Here is a 17,201-nt window from a genome sequence, read left to right on the forward strand (position 1 = left end):
ATGTAAGTTGTGGAGGGGACATAAAATTTCTTCTCATATTCAATCAACTCTCAAATACAGAAAACTGACCACCTCATCTAGGACCACTTGGTTCTAGTGTTTTCCCTTGTTCCTGCTGTTTCTTGGCCTTAGTGTGACTTTCAGATACCTAAACTTCATTTAAGTATGGTATTATTTTCTCTAAGTTCCAGGAAATTAATTTATAACTTTGTCATAAAAGATGAAAAGGTAGGGTTTTCTTATCCAAGACTCAATGGCATTAACACCAAAAGAGTCCCTCATCCATTCCCAAAGGTCCAATAAACAGAAGTCTGGGTTTATTGTGAAAGTGTAATGTTGCACTTATTTTATTTATTTATTTATTTTTGAGACAGAGTCTCGCTCTATCGCCCAGGCTGGAGTACAGTGGCGTGATCTCGGCTCACTCCAAGCTACACCTCCCAGGTTCACGCCATTCTCCTGCCTCAGCCTCCTGAGTAGCTGGGACTACAGGCGCCTGCTACCACGCCCAGTTAATTTTTTGTATTTTTAGTAGAGATGTGGTTTCACCATGTTAGACAGGATGATCTCGATCTCCTGATCTCGTGATCTGCCTGCCTCGGCCTCCCAAAGTGCTGGGATTACAGGCGTGAGCCACCTGCCCGGCCTTATTTTCTTAAATCTACATGTTTTTTATGTGTGATTGATATGGATAATTTACACCGTATCACCAGAATACGTTTTCACAGCTCATCTCCATGACTGCTTAGTAATTTCTCATGGTTAATCCATTTCCCAGGAATTTCACTCTAAGCTTGCAATGTGCAAAGCAATGAGCTGTTAGGAAATTTAAAATAAGTAAGACATAGGTATTCTTCAAGAGGAGTTTGAAATTTAGAGAAAGAGAAAAGCCTAGAAATGTTTATAAGACATGATAGGCCAAATGCAAAAATGGAGCAAAATACCTCTTCCCTCAAAAAATTAAAGTGCTGGCCAGCTTCATTACAATGTACAAAGCTGTCCTTCCACTGACTAATATAAAGTCTACTGGGATGAGGACTGCACATATGGGATTGAGGGGTAAAAGATGAATGTGAATAGTGCATGAGGCCCATTTCCTACTCAAATCCATATCAACAGATGCTATGTTGGAATCTTTTTCTCAGAGATGGGGATGGATCTGAATGAATGTTCAGATCCCCAGCCTGTCTCTTCTCAAACAGTGAACACCTCTGTGCTAGATGACACCAAGGAACAGCTGGTAGCTGTGACCTCAGTAACTGTGGAGCACTGTGCTGGAGCCAAAGGGCTCTCAACCGGGCTGGGTGGGTACCTGAGACTCTTTTCAAGTGAATCTACATCTCCAGGAATAGCACCGGGCATCAGTCTCCTCTGAAAGCTCCACAGAGAACCTGGACACATACGGAGCATGGGGAAGCACTGCTCGAGCCTCATACAATGTGTTTTTTTCACTCTATAAAATGCTGCTGGTCATCTATGAATCATTCTTCACTCTCACATTTGCCTGCACTGAGATCCAGTCCAGTAGCACCATCAACTTTAAATATATTATCTAACATTACTGAGCACTTACAGTATGCCAGGTACTGAACTGAGGACCTTACATACATTTTGATATATAATCTTCAAAAACCACCTTAGGAGTTAAGTACTATACTGGTTTCCCAATTCATAGATGGAGAAACTGTAACTTGAAGTTAAGTGACTGTGCAGTCACATAGCTATGCAGAATGGAGCTGGGGATGGAAACGCTCTCTGCTCGGCATCCAAGTTTATGCCTCTAATCACTAGGATATAGCAGCTCATTTACATGTATGGAATATTCAGGTTTTTAATGTGCTCTGCATCTATGAACAAAAAGCTAGTTGACACATAATTATCCATAAAATAGAGAAAAATATAGTATCTACTTGGAAATGATTTACCAAAAGTTTATATATTCAGCATTTATTTTCATAAAATATTTTGCCACTTATCTCTGTCCAGTCTCAGCATCCAGCCTCTTAGCAGGATACCATTGGCGTTCCCAGATTCAGCAGATTGCAACGTGCTTCATCTAACACTTAAGGAATCACTGCAGTGAGCCTGCTGCATTATGGCACATCTGCAGAAGTAGCCGCACTCAGTGTACAAATCGAGCAGGCTCTGAAAAACATGACACTGCCAAGTGAAGCTACGCGGTTCTTGCTGTCTCCAAAATAAAAGATGATTCTTGTATCGTTCAAGAGAAGATTACTGCCAAAGACAAACTAGTATTCGGAGCTCTGTCCTCTGATAAGCATGTACTGCAATCCTGCCACATGAATACTAATTTTACCACTAAGGGTAGCTCTAGCTACCTGCCAAGTGCTGTCTTGGGGCTTTCTGTTAATCCTCACACCAACCCCTCATCAGAGCTGAGGAGACTGAGGCACAGCGAGGCTAAGAAACTTGCCCAGGGTTAAGTTAGGAAGCAGCCAAACTGGAGCTGGGGGACCTGGGTGGGGGGAGCTGGCTCCAGCTACTTGGCTTTTTACCACCCCCTCCCTGCAGACCAGGCTGTGTGACAGGCCTTGGGATTATAACGATATCAGAGATGCAGTTCCTTGAGAAGCGGAGAAACACACCCATCACCGTGGAGCTGGGACTTGGAGGGCCAGTTGTTTGTTTAAGTCTAAAGGAGCAACATAGTAAAGACTAACCTAAAACTGTCAAGAAAGACTATCAGGAAAAGTTCCCTTTCATAGAGTATTAATTCCTGGAAAATGGTCCCAAAGAGCTGATTGCCTATGGCGATGATGTGAATATAGAGAAAGGCATAGAGAAACAGGCAGGTGTGGCCTTGGGATGAAAACAGAACTGAAGGCTGTAATGTCAGGTTGCCTGGGGATCACAGATGAGGCAGCTGGATCCCCACAGAGAATTGCACCCGAAAGAACCTAGCAAGTCTGGAGCTTGGTGGACAATCAAATAAATGGTGATTACTGGGTAGGAAACACTTGGAGAAAGAGTCCTGTGATGGAAACAGAGGCCCAGTAGTCAGAACTAATGGAACCCATTGGTTGAACAGAAGACATGGGTTTTCTTTCTTCTTAGCAAGGGGAAAGGGCAGAGGTCAGAGCAAAGCTAAAAGGTGAGCAAGCTGGCAGGGGAGGGAGAGGGGAGTGCCCAGGAGCCCATTAGCAGAGGTCCCTAGGACTTTGCTTTTATATGCAGACACTGCAAAACTGACAGCTCATGAGCCAGTGTGCTGCTTTGTGTTTTAATCTGAACAATTTGTCTACAGGAAAATCAGGAAAGTTAACATCTTCCAGATTTCTAACTTATCTTTTAAAAAATAAAAGTCAAGGCAGATTGGCCTTGGGCTTCCAGGGGGCCACAGCGTGGTCCTGTGCAGGACAGGCTGGCAATGCCCTGCTGCCCATGCCCACACCACTTCCCCCTGCCCTTTACCCTGGGCGCCTTAACATGTTTGCATCCCCTGCCTGGCCCATGTACACAATTGAATAGGTGACCCTAAGTTCAGAGACTAAGAACAGGAGGGAATACGGCTGCCTTGGGGAAGAATAAGGACCCATGCTTCACAGTAAGGGGAATCTTCACTATGAAGAGGTCCAGCTGTCACCTTCATTGGGGAGTTAAAGGCCAGCGAGGACCACTAGCCCACGAGTGCTTCCAGCCTGCTCCTACCTCCCATTCCCACCACAGTCAGGGTTTTACCTATCTTAAAATTTGTTATTTCATAATTTACATATACTATCCCATTAAACAACATGTGTTAAAAGATATATTAGCTTAGTTAACAACCTTATGAGATAAATATCTTTGTTGCCCTTTTACAGATGAGAATATTGAAGTTTAGAGAGTTAAGTAATAAGCTCAAGGTCACACAATGGAGATTTGAACAAGGGCAGTCCACCTCCAGAGCTCATGAACTTGAGGTGGTATAGGATATTAGACCCAAAGAATGTTAATAGATGCTCTCTTTAAAAGGATTTTTCATGGTCAAGTAAGTTAGGGAAATATTCATTTCAGGTTTCTTTCTTAAGATTCTCAGAATCTTTAAAATACTAATGGGCTTTGTGAATCTTCAAGTAAGAAAATCTATGTCTCCAAATTGAGTCATGAAATCTTTGCCAGAAACACAGCATGGAATACACTGTGGTGGAAAGGATGACTTCTAAAGCAAGATGAATGAAAACTTGTAATTATGGGTTGAGCAATGTGGATTTTCTAAGCCAAATCAATTATTTGCAAACCTTATATTTTTGGAAACGGTACTTCAGGTATAGAAATCTATTAGCTTACGATCCCACCTTTTCCTCACTAACCTAAAATCTCAATTAAAATAAATCCTGTTGTTATGATTCCATTAATCTGAAATTCTATCAACTGTGACTCTAAAACTTCAACCATAGCAAGATAACAAAAAATAATCTCACATATGTATAGGATATTTTGACATTTACTGTTTTACATATTCCTTAATATAACCTTTATGAACTAGAAATGATTTTGTTTCCATTTTATAGATGAAGAAAATTAGCCCCAAAAAGGTTAAATGAATTGACAAAGGTCAAAGAGCAACCCAGTAAGTGACAGTACATCTTTAAATGTTGCCAGATATTAATGTACTGACTAAATACTAATACAGTTTTTATAATAAAAGCATTTAGTTCTCTTATCAGGAGATGATTCATATTATTAAGTCATATAGCTTCCATTAGCCACACATTTTGATAATTCCATTCCTCAACCTTGGTAGTTTATAGAGAATATATTATAATAAGTCTTCTAAGTAATGTGGCTTGGCATATCAGGATTACAAGGACTTTAAAACTCCAAAAAGCCAATCCTAAGGGCCAATACTCTTTAAAACAGAAACATGGCTACCAAGAATTTAAGGAAGAATTAACAACAACCCTTCTCAAACTATCCCAAACATTTTAAAAGGAAGGAGCACTTCCAAACTCGTTTTATGAGACAAGCATTATCTCATTCCTAAGTTAGATAAGGGTACTACAAAAAAAGAAAGAAAATTACAGACCAGTATTTTTTTTTTCCCATCTTACAATATATTCTGATCATCTTTCCAGGTAATCAAATATCCGGCAACATCATTTTAATGGTTGTTTGGCATCATTAGGGCATGAATTAATTGTCAGGCATATACATAGTGCCATTCATTTCATTAGAAAGAGAAGTGTCTCTATTTTTTTTTAAATTTTATTATTATTATACTTTAAGTTTTAGGGTACATGTGCACAATGTGCAGGTCTGTTACATATGTATACATGTGCCATGTTGGTGTGCTGCACCCATTAACTTGTCATTTAGCATTAGGTATATCTCCTAATGCTATCCCTCCCCCCTCCCCCCACCCCACAACGGTCCCCAGAGTGTGATGTTCCCCTTCCTGTGTCCATGTGTTCTCATTGTTCAATTCCCACCTATGAATGAGAACATGCGGTGTTTGGTTTTTTTGTCCTTGTGATAGTTTGCTGAGAATGATGGTTTCCAGTTTCATCCATGTCCCTACAAAGGACATGAACTTATCATTTTTTATGGCTGCATAGTATTCCATGGTGTATATGTGCCACATTTTCTTAATCCAGTCTATCGTTGTTGGACATTTGGGTTGGTTCCAAGTTTTTGCTATTGTGAATAGTGCCACAATAAACATACTTGTTCATGTGTCTTTATAGCAGCGTGATTTATAGTCCTTTGGGTATATACGCAGTAATGGGATGGCTGGGTCAAATGGTATTTCTAGTTCTAGATCCCTGAGGAATTGCCACACTGACTTCCACAATGGTTGAACTAGTTCACAGTCCCACCAACAGTGTAAAAGTGTTCCTATTTCTCCACATTCTTTCCAGCACCTGTTGTTTCCTGACTTTTTAATGATCGCCATTCTAACTGGTGTGAGATGGTATCTCATTGTGGTTTTGATTTGCATTTCTCTGATGGCCAGTGATGATGAGCATTTTTTCATGTGTTTTTTGGCTGAATAAATGTCTTCTTTTGAGAAGTGTCTGTTCATGTCCTTCGCCCACTTTTTGATGGGGTTGTTTGTTTTTTTCTTGTAAATTTGTTGGAGTTCATTGTAGATTCTGGATATTAGCCCTTTGTCAGATGAGTAGATTGCGAAAATTTTCTCCCATTCTGTAGGTTGCCTGTTCGCTCTGATGGTAGTTTCTTTTGCTGTGCAGAAGCTCTTTAGTTTCATTAGATCCCATTTGTCAATTTTGGCTTTTGTTGCCATTGCTTTTGGTGTTTTAGACATGAAGTCCTTGCCCATGCCTATGTCCTGAATGGTATTGCCTAGGTTTTCTTCTAAGGTTTTTATGGCTTTAGGTCTAACATGTAAGTCTTTAATCCATCTTGAATTAATTTTTGTATAAGGTGTAAGGAAGGGATCCAGTTTCAGCTTTCTACATATGGCTAGCCAGTTTTCCCAGCACCATTTATTAAATAGGGAATCTTTTCCCCATTGCTTGTTTTTGTCAGGTTTGTCAAAGATCAGGTGGTTGTAGATATGTGGCATTATTTCTGAGGGCTCTGTTCTGTTCCATTGATCTATATCTCTGTTTTGGTACCAGTACCATGCTGTTTTGGTTACTGTAGCCTTGTAGTAGAGTTTGAAGTCAGGTAGCGTGATGCCTCCAGCTTTGTTCTTTTAACTTAGGATTGACTTGGCGATGCAGGCTCTTTTTTGGTTCCATATGAACTTTAAAGTAGTTTTTTCCAATACAGACCAGTATTTCTAATGAACATGGATGCCAAAATTCTCAACAAAATACTAGTCAACTGAATTCAGTTGCACATTAAAAGGATCATACACCATGATCACGTGGAATTTCTCCCTGGGATGCAAGGATGGTTTAACATGCACAAATAAATAAATGTGATTCACCACATTAACAGAATGAAGAATAAAAATCATGCGATCATCTCAAACGATGTAGAAAAAGGATTTGACAAAATGCAACCCTTTCATCATAAAAACACTCAATAAATTAGACACAATAAAAGCCATATATGACAAGCCCATGGTAAACATCACACTCAAAGTTGAAAGGCTGAAAGCTTTTCCTCTAAGATTATGGAAAAGATAAAGATGCCTACTCTTGCCACTTCTATTTGACATAGTACTAGAGGGGCTAGCCAGAACAATTAAGCAGGAAAAAGAAGTAAAAGGCATCCAAATATGGCAGGAAGATAAATTGTCTGTTTGAAGATAATATGATCTTACTTATAGAAAACTCTAAAGATCCCACCAAATATCTGTTAGAACTAATAGACAAATTCAGTATAGTTGCAGGAAACAAAAATCAACAAACATCAGTTGTGTTTCTATACACTAATAATAAACTACCTGAAAAAAAATCATTATGGAAAATAGTATGGCGGTTCCTCTGTAAATTGAAAACAGAACTACCATATGATCTAGCTATCTCACTTCTAGGTATATATTCAAAGGAAATGAAATCAGTATTTAGAAGAGAGCTCTGTACCCCATGTTCATTGCAGCATTAGTTATACTAGCTAATACCTTGAAACAGCCTAAGTGTCATTGATGAATGAATAAAGAAATTGACATATATATGTATGTGTATATAAGTGTGTGTATGTAAATATAAGTAAATATGTGTGTATATATTCTATATATAATGGATTATGATATTGAAATATTATATGTATAATGGAATATTATACATATAATATGTTGGAATATTATTCAGCCACAAAAAGGAAGGAAATCCTGCCATTTGTGACAACATAGATGAACTTGGAAGACATTATGCTAAGTGAAATAAGCCAGACATATAAAGACAAATACTACATGATCTCACTTATATGTGAAATCTTTAAAAAGTCGAACTAATTGAAGCAAAGAGTAGAAAGGTGGTTGCCAGGGGCTGGGGGTGGGGGAATGGGGAGGTGTTGGTCAAAGGGCACGAACTTCTAGTTATAAGATTAATAAGTTCTGGGGATCTAATATACAGTATGGTGACTATAGTTAATAATACTGTATTGTTTACTTGAAATTTGATGAGAGCACACTTTAATTGTCCTTACACACTCACACACACACAAAAATGATAACTGAGTGGTGATGGATATGTTAATTAATTTGATTGTAGTAATCATTACACAAGGTATGCAGACATCGCATCATCCCATTGTATACCTTGAATACATAAATGTTTGTCAATTAAATATTTTAAAATAAAAAACAGTAAAACAGAAATATGAAGATTTTTACTTTTAGTCTACAGAAAAGTAAATATTTATTTTCCCCACAGAATTCTGCTTTCTTTTCCTATATAGCTTACATATCTGAATCTTAAAGACCTTTAGCACCATGTTTTGGTATGAAAAAGAATATGGGAAGAAGGACATTACAATAAGAAAAATAATGCATTTTTCTTCTCTATGCTGCCTCTTGTCACTCAGTTTCTGTGTAACCTAATTCTTATTCTGATCGGAGAAGAAGGAACTGAAAATCAGGATTTTATGAACACCATCGATATCTCCCCACTCTCCGGCAAATGCACAAACACAGTCCTCTGGTTCCTAACGATGCATTTCACAGATGAGTTTCCCTGGCTGCTCTCCATGCAGATAATAAATAAAGTAACTTTTGTTTTGAGAGATTTATTTCGAAGACCTCTTCATTAAACACTATTTGGGGGCAGATGCGTACCTATGGAAGGTGAAGAAAAACATGCTGATAAAATAGCCATCAAGGAAATGTGCCACTGACAAAATCTAACATGGTCTGTCTTCAAAGAATACATTTAAAATACAGAAACATACACACATGCACAGGCACACACGGGAAGGAGAGAGGGAAGAGGGGAGAGAAAAAGAGAGAGGAAAGCTGGAAGGAGGAATTAATTTTAAAAAGACCTTTGAAACCACATTTAAAATATATGAAATTCCGAAATTTGGAAGTAATCATTACTTCCAAATACGGCTGAGTGTTGAAAAGTCAAACCAAAAGTCTGCTTGTTTGTTCTGATGGTGGGTTGCTGAGGTGGAGAAGAGATGATGCTGCTGCAAAAATTACCCAATTCTTTAAGGGGGTAGTAATTTTGCTTTTTTTAATCTTACAGCTTGGATGAATGGGTTTATAAAACTAAAAGGAAGAAAGTAGAATTCTGACAGGCAGTGGGAAGGGGCTGACTCTACGCCAACTTCTTATGTTGTCAGGCAGGAACTCACGGGCCGCAGGGTCCTCATCCGAACACTCAAGGGGTGTGTGTGTGTGTGTGTGTGTGTGTGTGTGTGTGAGAGAGAGAGAGAGCGAGAGAGAGAGAATATCGGGGGGAGCTAGCTAAGTGGAGAAACTAGAACTAATGGCTATTCCATTACAGAAACAGAGATACCTCCTGGAAAAATCCTTCCTTCCATTTTTTAATCCATCAAAAATTGGATAAAAAAGGCCATTGAACCTTTAAGAAACAGCAATAGTCTCCTCAGGAAATAAGTGAAAAATGCATCATATTTAGGGACACAAAGAAGGACTCTTCCAAAACAGACGTCCACAGTGAGAATAGCCACTTGCCTGTGCCCGGGATGGAACAGACTGCAGGGTTATCACATTCAGGAAGGGTATGAACCAGACTGCCTGGGTTTAACCTGGCTTCCTCGCTTACTTTCAGAGTCCTGTGGCCTTGGGACTGTTATCTAACCTTTCTAGGTCTCAGTTTCCTCATCTGTAAAATGTGAACAGTAACAATATCTATGTAACAGGATTTTTTAAAATACGTGAAATGCTTAAAACAGTACCTGGAAGTAAGGCTTAAGGATCTGTTAAACAAACAAACCACTCTAATTGTAAATATAGACAGGTTGACTGAGCTGGTTTCTGTTACAGAACAATTTGATTTATTAATAATGTAAATGGCAGCCATGTTTCTCTGGAAAATTTTAAGCTGCCATACAAATGAAATCTCTTGGAAGTAGAGCTGTCTTTATTCATTTTATAAATAGGGAGACTGGGACACAGTAGGGAACACTTATGTACGAATCTTCCACAAATTCTGCAGAATGCCTCTCACCTGGCTGCAGGTGCTCAGTAAACACTGGTGGACTGAGCTGAATTTCCAGAGGTCCAAGACCTAGCTGCCCATGCAACCAAGATAGAAATGTTCTTCTTTATTCTAATTTCACTCATTTTAGAGATTCTAATTGCTAAGGAAGAACAGTGATGTATTAGGCATACTGACCATTTTGTTTTTACAATTACTTTTTAAGCATGAGAATTATGTATTGGACACAGGGAGCACTCATCCATCGACTGGTAAGATGTTTGTTTAGAGAATGTCACTGGTCTAACAATGAATGAATGAGGGCTGGAAATCACCAGACACACAGCCACAGCACATTTATTTCTTACAGCCCATTAGGCCTTGGCTCCATTTTAATACAACTCAAATGTCTCTATGTGAGCGTCACAGCTCACCCTGCAGGCAGGGCAACACATTCAAGTAGTCAAACATCAACCATCATGGAATCTGCAAGTTCAACACTGTTGCAACCACAATAATATCATAAACTTTAGTATTCCATGTCTCAGAGTTTAACATAAAGAGCTATGTTGCTGAAAGTGCAAACAAAATTTTTTTAACTTTGTAGAAGGTCAGTTTTTTAATTTGGTGAAATCTGACTAAAAGTTAGCCCAGCCATGGAGAGTTTTACATTGATATATACACACAAACTTAGGTAGAAATGGCTCTGCCAGAAATTGTCAGCATAAAGTACATGAAATTTTTAATAAGTGACTGTTTTTTGATACCTAAAAAAGCAATTTCATATGGGCCACCTGATAGTTGTGTAACGTAAGACAGATTTTGAAATTCTCTAAACATCAGTTTCCTCACCTGCAAAATGGGACACTCTTAGTACTTTCTTTACGGTGTTATTGTAAAGATTCTAAGAAATACATGAAAAGTTTTTAGTGTAGTCACCGTGGGTCCATAAGTACTAAGTCATTATTTGTAGTCATAATATTAGCATCTGGTTCTGACGCTAAACTGAAAGTATTTTACTGTGACCATTTTTAAAAGTGCATCAGGAATTAAGGGCCTGGCTCCTCAGAAAGAACCCCTTCATGCCCCAACCTGCAGAGGCAGGACACCTCACGATGCCCTTCTTTCTTTTCACTCCCTCTTCAGCATTAACAGTGGTTTCAACAAAGCAGTTGTCAGCTGGAGGGGGGTGCCAGGGTTCAGAGCAAACAAGTATACCCAGCAACTGGCACACACCTGCTGGAAACTGCCTGTGTGAGATGCTGAGGGTTCTGCTGCCCTCTGGGACGATGTTCAACTTCTTCAGGAGCAGCACTAGCCAACATATGACAGATTTTGGTTTTTTAAGAAAAAGCAAAATATAACTCATCTAAAGGCTTTCTGAAATCCCCTTGCTGCCCACGATGGCCGACGCTCATTTCTCTATGTGTGTGCGTGGGTTTTGTTTTTAACTTCTTTTTGTATTCCTAGTCAAGAGAGCACTAAATGTTCTGAAACTGTTTCTTGGGCGTTGCTTTTCTCTCCTCAGCTGCACTTGGTGCTAAGTCAGGAGCCATCCCTGGTGCTGGGCACATACCAGGCTCTCAGTAAACAGATGCTGAATAATTGATGCTGCAAATCCAGTTGTGAAAATGGCTTCTTGGCCTCTGTAATTTTGCACACTTTTAAGGCTGCAAGCCTTCAAAACAACAATCATGGGCCTTTTCAGCTTCCTGTAAACTCTGTCATGCTGCCGTGAATTCCAAATTCTTAATTTTATGCACACAGAGGGAAAACTTTCCAGAACCAATGAATAGACAACTTTCCCAAAGGTCCTGTTTATCTTTCATACTAAACAAATATGGTTTTTGGCAACCTAAGTCTTCCACTAATTGTGCATACTGACAGATAGATATTTATATCCACAGATAGTAACAGAGGACAGGAACCAGTATCCAATATGGATGTGAAGAGGGCTGCCTGGACTGGGAAGGGTGAGGCCTCTCCCTGAGAATGGTTTCCCAACTTTCATCTCATGAATGGCAGTGCCCAGAGCATGACGATCAATCACATCCTCCTAGCACTGTCTAGCACTACCCCTTCACACAAAGCCATCTCTCAGGCAAGGTCTCAGTTACCCTGGTGATATGAGTGAGGGAGGCATTATACCCACTTTACAGAGAGAAACTGAGGCAAACGTGGCTGCAGAGACATATGGGGGCTGCTGCTGCTGGCCATGTGGGTATCTGGGTTTTAGGTGGGTGCAGCTGTTAGGACAGGGGTACCTTGTCTCTGTGTGGTTGTTTTTCTGGTTGACCAGACTACAGTATAATAAATATGCCTCAGAGTGCCTCCATTTCTTCAAATGAAAAATGAGAATAACACAATCTAGAGAATCAAACCATCTTAAACTCTACCCTTTCTTTCTTTCCTTTTTTTTTTTTTTTTTGAGACAGAGTCTCGCTCTGTCACCCAGGCTGGAGTGCAGTGACATGCTCTCGGCTCACTGCAACCTCCACCTCCTGGGTTCAAACGATTCTCCTGCCTCAGCCTCCTGAGTAGCTGGGATTACAGGCACGTGCCACCACGCCCAGCTAATTTTTGTATTTTTAGTAGAGACGGGTTTTCACCATGTTGATCAGGCTGCTCTCGAACTCCTGACCTCGTGATCCACCTGCCTAGGCCTCCCAAAGTGCTGGGATTACAGGCGTAAGCCACCGCACCTGGCCTATGCTTTCTTTCTATAGGCCCTATGTTCTGACAAAGCAAAAGCAGGCAAAACTAAAGGCAGAAAACAACAACAACAACAAACAAACAAAGCACAAGATAGGATGAGTAATTGATACAAATGTGAGGGCAATTTTTTTAAAAACTATTTTATTTTTAAGTAGATTTGCAGAGATGCGTAAAGTCTTAATTGCATCATTAATAAGTGACAGCATTGCCATGGTGATTACTTATTTTCAGAAAAGAAATAACCATAGAGAAATCATTAATAACTCAACAAGATACAAGGTGCTGGTCAGGGACTGTCAGGCACACATATCTCTCCACATGCAGTATAAAGCATGTTCTAATGGACAAAGAAAAATATTGGTTTGGGGGAAAAATAACTTGGTCCTTCTGCTAAACCCAGATAATAGGCATTACAACCTCGTAATAGTCTGGGCACGGTGGCTCATGCCTATAATCCCAGAGCTTTGGGAGGCTGAGGCAGGCAGATCCCTGAGGTCAAGAAGTCAAGACCAGCCTGGCCAACACGGTGAAATCCCATCTCTACTAAAAATACAAAAATTAGCTGGGCGTGGTGGTATGCACCTGTAATCCCAGCTAGCTGGCGTGGTGGTGGGCACCTGTAATCCCAGCTACTGGGGAGGCTGGGGCAGGAGAATTGCTTGAACCCAGGAGGCAGAGGTTGCAGTGAGCCGAGATCGCACCACTGCACTCCAGGCTGGGTGACAGAGCAAAACTCTATCTAAAAAAAAAAAAAAGAAAAAGAAAAAGATGGGCAAAATCATTGGTAAAATGTAAGAGCAGTGAAAAACGTGTTTTGAAATATTTATTTACACCTTTAAGTACATACAGCAACTCCTAGCAAGGCAAGAAGAAGTTTATACACAAGCCCTAATATACTCATTTAAATACATGTAAAGCATTTATTTAATACACTAACATGGACATTTATAGCTATAATAGTTAAGGCAATGTTTTCTATATATCAGGTACTGTGCTAAGAATTTTGTGTGTACTGAAACTCACTAATCTTCACAAAACCTTATCCTCCACGTAAGCATTAACATTATTCCCATTTTACAAATGAGAAAACAGGCCAGAGAAATGTCATAAGGCAGTAGAGTTGGGACGTGAATTCAGGCAGTCTGGCTTTAGAGCTCATGTCTTAACACTATTTTCTTTTTGCTTAGTTATCTTTTTATTGGAAAATAACTTTCTAAAACAAACTGAAAAGGTACTAATTCCACCTTCCAGCCCCCACCCCGTGAATCCAGGCTTTTTCATGGCCAGTCACACATGGAGCGAGACACAAGCTGGGTACCGTGAAGAGGAGTTTGGTTGAACATATAACCTCAGCTCAGCGCAGCCCAGAGTTCACTCCCTGCCCAGTGAGAAGGAGCCACTGTGTGAGCTGCTACCGGGGACGGGGTGCGGGGGGGGGGGGGTTAGGGAGCAGCGGCTGGGGGCCCTGGCTGATAACTCCCTCTTGGACACCAGCACCAAACAGGTGCTGAGGAAGAAGGTATTGGGGCAGACACAAGAGGACTTAACTATTATTCATTATTATCCAAATGAAATGGAAGTGTTATCACATTTCAGGAAACATTAAGATTAATATTTGCAAGAGAACACAATAAAAGATACAACGGCAATCTAATTACTTTTTGATCCAAAGCTACTGTTAGATATTGGTATATCCTACTTTCCGCCACCGCGCCCGACCACTTAGTTCTTGAAATTGTCGAATGCGGCGGCAGGGAGGCGGGCGGGGCGGGCTGCAGGCGGGGTCTGGCTCTGGGGCCAGTCTGGGCCACGGTCGGGACCCAGTGGAGGGCCGGACTGGTCAGGGTTCAGGCGGGATCCGGCGTCCGAGTTCTGGTGGGCAGGCCTGGGGCAGGATCTGGCTCTGGCTGCGGGTCCTGGCCCGGGTCAGGGTTGGGCCTCCTATCCAGCCCGCCCCAGGGCAGGGTTCAATCCCGCACTTGCCGAAGTCCCTGGGGCTGGCAAGGGTGCAAGACGCGGAGGGCTCTATGTCGGGAAAGGGGCTCTGAAGACCACGTGGGGGCGCTCTAAGGGGTCTGGGGCCACCCTGCTCTCTGGGTCAAAGGTCATCGCAATGGCCGGGAAGAACTTCCTCTTCCTTGGCTCTCCCCACTTACTTCCTGATAACCTGGTAGCGGTCTCCCGCGGGCGTCGGGGCTTGGGGGGAGGCGTAGCAACTTCAGGGAACTTCCCAAAGGTGTGCGCAGGTTGGGGGGCGGGGCGCGGCGCCCCGGGAGGTGGCGGCCTCTGCGACAGCGGAAGTATAAGAGTGGACCTGCAGGCCGGTCGCGAGGAGGTGGAGTGGGTGGCGCCCGCTTTGTGCCTGGGATCGGCATGCTGGGGCAGGAGGGCAGCCGCGTGTCAGGTGACCAGAACCATGTCCAGCCAGGTGGTGGGCAGTGAGCCTCTCTACATCATGGCAGAGCCGGCCAGGCCTGACAGTCCAAAGGGCTCCTCGGAGACGGAGACCCGAGCCTCCTGTGGCCCTGGCCCCTGGTCCAGCTCCCACCCACTGCCTCCCAGGCCACAAGGAAGAGGAGGATGGGAAGGGGCTGGGCCTGGCGAGCTGGGCGGTGGGAAGCTGGTGCTCAGCTTCCTGTCCAAGAGCCTCTGCCTGGTCTGTGGGGACGTGGCCTCCGGCTACCACTACGGTGTGTCATCCTGTGAGGACTGCAAAGCCTTCTTCAAGAGGACCATCCAGGGGAGCATCAAGTACAGCTGTCCGGCCTCCAACAAGTGTGAGATCATCAAGCGGAGACGCAAGGCCTGTCAGGCCTGCCGCTTCACCAAGTGCCTGCGGGAGTGCGCCTGGATCGCGTCCGGGGTGGGCGGAAGAAGTACAAGCGGTGCCAGAGGTGGACCCGCTGCCCTTCCCGGGCGCCTTCCCTGCTGGGCCCCTGGCAGTCGCTGGAGGCCCCCAGAAGACACCCCAGTGAATGCGCTGGTGTCTCATCTGCTGGTGGTTGAGCCTGAGAAGCTCTATGCCATGCCCGACCCCGTGGGCCCTGATGGGCACCTTTAAGCCGTGGCTACCCTCTGTGACCTCTTTGACCGAGAGATCGTATTTACCGTCAGCTGGGCCAAGAGCATCCCAGGCTTCTCATTGCTGTCGCTGTCTGACCAGATGTCAGTACTGCAGAGCGTGTGGATGGAGGTGCTGGTGCCCGGTGTGGCCCAGCGCTCACTGCCACTGCAGGATGAGCTGGCCTTCACTGAGGACAGAGTCCTGGATGAAGAGGGGGCACGGGCAGCTGGCCTGGGGGAACTGGGGACTGCCCTGCTGCAACTGGTGCGGCGGCTGCAGTCCCTGCGGCTGGAGCGAGGGGAGTACGTTCTACTGAAGGCCCTGGCCCTTGCCAATTCAGACTCTGTGCCCATCGAAGATGCCGAGGCTGTGGAGCAGCTGCCAGAAGCTCCGCACGAGGCCCTGCTGGAGTATGAAGCCGGCCGGGCTGGCACCGGAGGGGGTGCTGAGCGGCGGCGGCCAGGCAGGCTGCTGTTCACGCTACCGCTCCTCCACCAGACAGCGGGCAAAGTGCTGGCCCATTTCTATGGGGTGAAGCTGGAGGGCAAGGTGCCCATGCACAAGCTGTTCTTGGAGATGCTCGAGGCCATGATGGACTGAGGCGAGGGGTGGGACTGGTGGGGGTTCTGGCAGGACCTGCCTAGCATGGGGTCAGCCCCAAGGGCTGGGGCGGAGCTGGGGTCTGGGCAGTGCCACAGCCTGCTGGCAGGGCCAGGGCAATGCCATCAGCCCCTGGGAGCAGGCCCCACTCCCTCCCCTCCCCCCTCCTAGGGGATGTCAGAAGCTGGAAACGTGTGTCCGGGCTCTGGGCACAGTGCTGCCCCTTGCAAGCCATAGCGTGCCCCAAGAGTGTAGGGGGCCTTGCCGAAGCCACAGGGGGCTGCAGGGGATGTGTGGGAGGCAGAAGCCTATCTCAGGGAGGGAAGGGGATGCAGGCCACAGTCTCCCAGTGGGTGATGCTTTTGCTGCTGCTTAATCCTGCCGCCTCTTCAGAGCAGAGTGGGACTCGGAGAGCAAAGGCCCATGCTCCCTTTGCTCCTCCTCTCATCATTTGCACTGGGCATTAGTGCCCCCCCTTGAAGCAATAACTCCAAGCAGGCTCCAGCCCCTGGACCCCTGGGGTGGCCAGGGCTTCCCCATCAGCTCCCACCCAGCCTCCTCAGGGGGTAGGAGAGCACTGCCTCTATGCCCTGCAGAGCAGTAACACTATATTTATTTTTGGGTTTGGCCAGGGAGGCGCACGGACATGGGGCAAGCCAGGGCCCAGAGCCTTTGGCTGTACAGAGACTCTATTTTAATGTATATTTGCTGCAAAGAGAAACCGCTTTTGGTTTTGAATCTTTAATGAGAAAAAATATATATACTATCGAGCTCAAAAAGAAAATTGTGGAATGCATGATTGA

General features: G+C 43.7%; 1 long non-coding RNA gene and 1 pseudogene across 3 annotated transcripts in view, besides 1 other annotated feature; both read left to right on the forward strand.

The window, feature by feature from the left end:
- Nucleotides 2,901-3,402: an enhancer, noted in NCBI's record as "H3K4me1 hESC enhancer chr13:21822225-21822726 (GRCh37/hg19 assembly coordinates)". NCBI's record gives its function as "activates a minimal SCP1, AML or CMV promoter by ChIP-STARR-seq in primed H9 embryonic stem cells {active_cell/tissue: H9 hESC(primed)}" and the evidence as "EXISTENCE:reporter gene assay evidence [ECO:0000049][PMID:30033119]".
- The window catches only part of LOC105370105 (uncharacterized), a 32,756-nt gene continuing 30,382 nt past the window's right edge, over nucleotides 14,828-17,201 (forward strand). For all 3 annotated transcript variants that reach the window (XR_001749768.3, XR_001749771.1, XR_001749770.1), the window contains exon 1: nucleotides 14,828-14,904. This is a non-coding gene — a long non-coding RNA (uncharacterized LOC105370105). The remainder of the gene's footprint in view (nucleotides 14,905-17,201) is intronic.
- Nucleotides 14,906-17,177, forward strand: ESRRAP2 (estrogen-related receptor alpha pseudogene 2; annotated as a pseudogene).

This window comes from Homo sapiens, chromosome 13 (assembly GCF_000001405.40).
Source record: "Homo sapiens chromosome 13, GRCh38.p14 Primary Assembly".
NCBI lineage: Eukaryota > Metazoa > Chordata > Mammalia > Primates > Hominidae > Homo > Homo sapiens.